A 6,000-nucleotide genomic window follows, 5' to 3' on the forward strand; every position below is an offset into this window, starting at 1 on the left:
TGCCTGTTTTTGTTTTTATTTTAGAAATAGGGTCTTGCTCTGTCACCCAGGGTGGAGTGCAGTGGTGCCATCATAGCCTACTGCAGCATCGAACTCCTGGGCTCAAGCAATTGCCCTGATTCAGCTTCCAGCGTAGCTGGGACTACAGGCATGTGCCACCAATGCATGGCAATTTTTTTTTTTTTTTTAAAGACAGAGTCTTGCTCTTGTCGCCCAGGCTGGAGTGCAATGGCGCAATCTCAGCTCACTGCAACCTCCCCATTCTGGGTTCAAGCGATTCTCCTGCCTCAGCCTCCCAAGTAGCTGGGATTACAGGCACCCACCACCATGCCCAGCAAATTTTTGTATTTTTAGTAGAGATGGGGTTTTACCATGTTGGCCAGGCTGGTCTCGAACTCCTGACTTCAGGTGATCCACCTGCCTCAGCCTCCCAAAGTGCTAGGAATACATGCGTGAGCCAATGTTTTTTGTTTTTTTTTGTTTTTTTGTTTTGTTTGTTTGTTTGTTTTGTTTTGTTTTGTTTTGTTTTGTTTTGTTTTACAGGGTTTCACTCCCATCACCCAGGCTGGACTGCAGTAGCATTCTCTTGACTCACTACAAGGTCTGCCTCCCGGGTTCAAGTGATCCTCCTGCCTCAGCCTCCCGAGTAACTGGGATTACAAGCTCATGCCACCACCCCTGGCTAATTTTTCTATTTTTAGTAGAGACGGGGTTTCACCATGTTGGCAGGCTGGTCTTAAACTCCTGACCTCAAGTGATCCACCTGCCTTGGCCTTCCAAAGTGCTGGGATTACAGGTGTGAGCCACGCGGTTGGCCATAATTTAAAAAAAATTTTTTGTAGATGCAGGGTCTTACTATGTTGACCAGGGCAGTCTCAATTCCTAGCCTCAAGCAATCCTCCCTCCTCAGCCTCCCAAAATGCTGGAATTATAGGCAAGAGTCACCACATCCAGCCAGAGTCCTGTCTTTAGATCTATCATGGCACATGTCATACTATATGGAAATTGCTATTTATCATTTCCCAGGATAGAGGATATAATTGTTGGGGAGAAGACTATGTCTTGTTCATCATTATAATTCCAGTGCCTGGCACAAAACATCTCTCAATAAACATTTGTTGAATAAATGAATGAAGAAAGTAGAAAATGAGAAAATTAACAGCACTGATACCTAGACTACTATACTAAATAACTCAATGTATAAACATGGTGCAATTATATTTAATAGTTATCATGTATTTTGTTCTGTGTCTGTACATTCATTTAGTTTTTATTAGAACTGTTGAAGTTCACAGATTTTTTTCTTACTGTATTTTAGCAAAATAGAAAATATCTATGTCTAAGACTATACCTGCTTTTCTCCTGCTTTTTCACTTTATCCCCAGTTGCTGCTAAACTTGAATCTGGATTCTGTAGAACTTCTCCTCTAGGATTTACTGCTGTGTTACTAGAAACTGCAAATCCAAATTCAGAGAAGTTTAAAACCTTCTCAAACATGTGTACAGGCATCAAAGAAAAATTGATGATATTGAGAATTGGAGGGTCTTCTCACTTATCACCACCCACCACCACCACTCACTAAACCCCTTTTCTGTTTCTAAATTAGAGGATATTATACAGGATGAACCCAAGCCAGTTTGTTAGCACATTGTAAGCCATCATTTTAGAGTTTCAAGAATTGATCAGTCCTTCCTCCTCCTGGAGAAGATCTTAGATCCTCTTTCCTTCTCATCAGGGTCCTTCTTTTGGAGAATGGACTGACTCCTCACCTCCATCGGCCCCAGCCCTACCTAGTCAGCGTCCTGCTCCTGTCTGGGCTTCAGAGAACCTCCACACTGAGTTTCTCCTTTCCACCCTCCATCTCTTTCTCAGGTGCACCAACTCACCCTCAATAAGTCCGCTGGATTTTAAAGTTAGCTGTGAGACGTTTAAGCTTTGTGTTTATGTTCGCTGTCTTTGTTCACCAAGCTTATAATGAATGCACGTAAAATAATCAACTCCACTGCCAGTCACGGTGGCTCACGCCTGTAATCCCAGCACTTTGGGAGGCCAAGGTGGGCGAATCACGAGGTCAAGAGATCGAGACCATCCTGGCCAACATGATGAAACCCTATCTCTACTGAAAATACAAAAATTAGCTGGGCGTGGTGGCGTGCACCTGTAGTCCCAGCTACTCGGGAGGCTGAGGCAGGAGAATTGCTTGAACCTGGGAGGCACAGGTTGCAGTGAGCCGAGATTGCACCACTGCGCTCCAGCCTGGTGACAGAGCGAGACTCCATCAAAAAAAAAAAAAAAAAAAAAAAAAATCAACTCATCTAAACTTTAAGTCTTAAAACCTTGGCAGATTCATTCTTCATTCATTCACTCACTTTGCATAATTGACTCCTAATCATGCATATCTTACAACCAGAGGACTTATCTGGACACCCAGGAAAATTCTGTTCTAATCCTTCTTCTGTGTATTGCTGTTTTTTGTTTTGTTTAGTTTTGCAAAATTGTAGTCATGCCCTTTTTCTGTTCTTCTCATTCTTTACTCTTTTCTTGTTCCCATTCTTTGTATTATAGATTATGAATGAGCATAAACAACAGTAAATGCTTTGGCTCACACCTTAGCAAGACCATGTACAAGTGTCACCATGGTGAGCTCTCCTACTACAAGAAGTCTTGCCTAATTAAGTGGCTCTTGTTTGTGCTCTGTAAAGTCAAGCAGTTTGGTAAGATTGTGTATTAGTTAAGATACAGTTTAGCTGTAAGTGAAGTAGGAAATTCTGGGCTAAAGCGACACTCTGAAGTATCATTCTACACTTCATCCTATGCTATGGTCATTCTGTAGTGATCTTATACTCATGCTATACTACATCCCAGTCAGTAAGAAGGGGAAAAAGAATAAAGTCATACCGCCTTTAAAAGTGTCTCTAAAAATGCTCGTATTACTTCTGCTTACATTTCACTGACCAGAACTTAATCACATGGCCACATCCAGCTGCAAGGGAAGCTGAGAAATTTTGTTACAGCTGGACATAAGCCAGCCAAAACTGAAATTCTATTATTATTGAAGAAGGGGGGAATGGATTTGGGGCAATTAGCATTTTATCTTATGGGTGCATGCTAGCTAGTTTAGGTAATCCCCCATTGAACAAATATGTTGTATTCCAAAAACTTAGTTATAAATAGGATCTTTGCAATCTGGTGTAAATAGTGGTTACATTCCCAGGTCTGTTCAAAAACCTATTTAGGGATAAAGTAGCTGAAACAGTGTTCATTTTTGAAAAAGCCAATAGAAAATTATTAAAAAGACACTTGAATCTTTTAAGCAAAAATAAAATATAAAATCCATATTTTCGAGTCTGGGCACAATGGCTCAGCACTTTGAGCCATAATTCCAGCACTTTGGGAGGCTGAGGTGGGAGGATTACTTGAGGCCAGAATCCAAGATCAGCCTAGGCAACATAGCAAGACTTCATCTCTATAAGAAATACAAAAATTCCATTTTTTCGACTCTCTGCTAGACACCACCACCATCATTCAGAATGGATCAGACTGGACTAACTCATCATTTTTACCTCTCCTTTGTTTTTTCCTTCTTCCAGTTCTCTGGAACCCTTGTCCCTGGATAGCCCCTATATCAGTAAAAATCATATGATTTTCTATCATTTCCAGGCTACAAAGTTTCAAATCACCTGTGATTCTTTTCTTTCCACCTCTCTTCCAACCCAGACAGATGGACATATACTCATACCCTCTGATCAGTGGCCAGCTCCTGTGGATTTCCTTCTCAGGTCCTCTGTAGGCACAATCATCTTCCTCATAGACTACAAAGTCTGACTACCTTGGAACATGTGCTGAGAATCTCCTGTGTACTATGCATTGTGCTAGGCTGGGGATACAGAGATTGGAGAGAGGGGCAGGGATTAGGTCTTTCCCTCAAAGAACTCACAATCCGTTAGGGAAGATACAATGGTATACCAAGGTCAGAGTGGTGGGAGCTGCCTGCCCACCATTCAGGCCATAAAGAGGTGCGCTGTCTGTGAAGAATTCAAAAACAACAATATAGCCAACTACAAGTCAGTCTGCTTCTTACAATCACTGTGTGCCACCAATTGTAAACAATGTCAGTGATAAAATACTCTCCTCTAAAACTTTTAGTATTGGCTTAAGTTCTAAACACTGCACTTTGCTTAATATTATAGAGTTTGAAGTACGTATGTATGTATGTGCATTTGTAACCTATGCTTCAAATGAGCACATCCTAATTACTTATCCTTTGGTAAATTTTGTATTCTATATGAAAGTTAATTCTGGCTGGACGCGGTGGCTCACACCTGTAATCCCAGCACTTTGGGAGGCCAAGGCAGGTGGATCACGAGGTCAGGAGATTGAGACCATCCAGGCCAATAGAGTCAAACTAAAACACAAAAAATTAGCCTGGCGTGGTGGCATGCACCTGTAGTCCCAGCTACTCAGTAGGCTGAGGCGGAGGAATCACTTGAACACAAGAGGTGGAGGTTGCAGTGAGCCAAGATCGCACCACTGCACTCCAGCCCGGTGACAGGGCAAGACTCTGTAAAAAAAAAAAAAGAAAAGAAAAGAAAAAAGAAAAAAGAAAAAGAAAAGATAAGAAAGTTAATTCCAAGAATTTTTAATTATATAACTGGCCCTGACACTGTGGATGCAGTTCCAAGAGTTCTTTTTAAGTTCTTAAAGTTTCAGAATCATTTGAGCTTGCTATGGGCACACTTCATAGTACCCCCGTGGTACTATATATGCCTGTGTTACAACAGGAGATTTCAAATAAGCAATAATAACACATCAATTATAAAGAAGCAGCAGCAGAATTTGAAGTACTTTCATCCTGTCATACTGTGACAGTTTGATGTTTTTATTTGTGTTTAAAATATTTTAACCATAGAGACATCTGAAAGTTACCTAGACATCTGAAAGTTACTCAAAGAAACAAACGCATGGACAGTATTACAATTACTAAAATTTATTGAGAAACGGGATTTGTATGAATCTGACAAATTTATCTTTAAAACTTTTCTTAACTATTTGTATATATGTTGTTTAATGTAAAAGAAATTGTTGGCCGGGCACAGTAGCTCATGCCTGTAATCCCAGCACTTTGGGAGGCTGGGTTCAGGGAGAATCAGGTTCAAGTGATTCTCCAGCCTTGGCCACCCGAGTAGCTGGGATTACAGGCATGCACCATCACGCCCAGTTAATTTTTGTATTTTCAGTGGAGACAGGATTTCACTATGTTGGCCAGACTAGTCTCGAACTCCTGAGCTCAAGTGATCCACCCGCCTCCGCCTCCCAAAGTGCTGGGATTACAGGTGTGAGCCACCAAGCCTGGCCTAAATTCTCTCACCTCAGCCTCACCAGTAGCTGGGACTACAGGTACACACCACTATGCCCAGCAAATTAAAAAAAAAGTATTATTATTATTTTTTATTTTTCCTGAGACAGTCTCACTGCATCACCCAGGCTGGAGTGCAATGGCATGATCTCGGCTCACTGCAACCTCTGCCTCTCAGGTTCAAGTGATTCTCCAGCCTTGGCCACCTGAGTAGCTGGGATTACAGGCACCCACCATCACGCCCAGTTAATTTTTGTATTTTCAGTGGAGACGGGATTTCACTATGTTCGCCAGGCTAGTCTCAAACTCCTGACCTCAAGTGATCCACCCGCCTCCGCCTCCCAAAGTGCTGGGATTACAGGTGTGAGCCACCAAGCCTGGCCTAAAAAAAATTTTTTTTTAGAGATGGGGCCTCACTATGTCACTCAGACTGGTCCTGAGCTCCTGGGATCAAGTGATTCTCTTTCCTCAGTCTCCCAAAGTGCTGGGATTACTTCCATAAGCCACCACACCTAGCCCTGGCTAACTTTTATTTATTTTTCTTGTAGAGACAAGGTCTCACTATGTTGTAAAAATGTTTTAATGTAATTAACAATATTAACCCACTTTTTTTTTCCTTTTTTTTGCGCTATGGTATCTATTAT

Source organism: Homo sapiens, chromosome 2 (genome assembly GCF_000001405.40).
Source record: "Homo sapiens chromosome 2, GRCh38.p14 Primary Assembly".
NCBI classification, from domain to species: domain Eukaryota; kingdom Metazoa; phylum Chordata; class Mammalia; order Primates; family Hominidae; genus Homo; species Homo sapiens.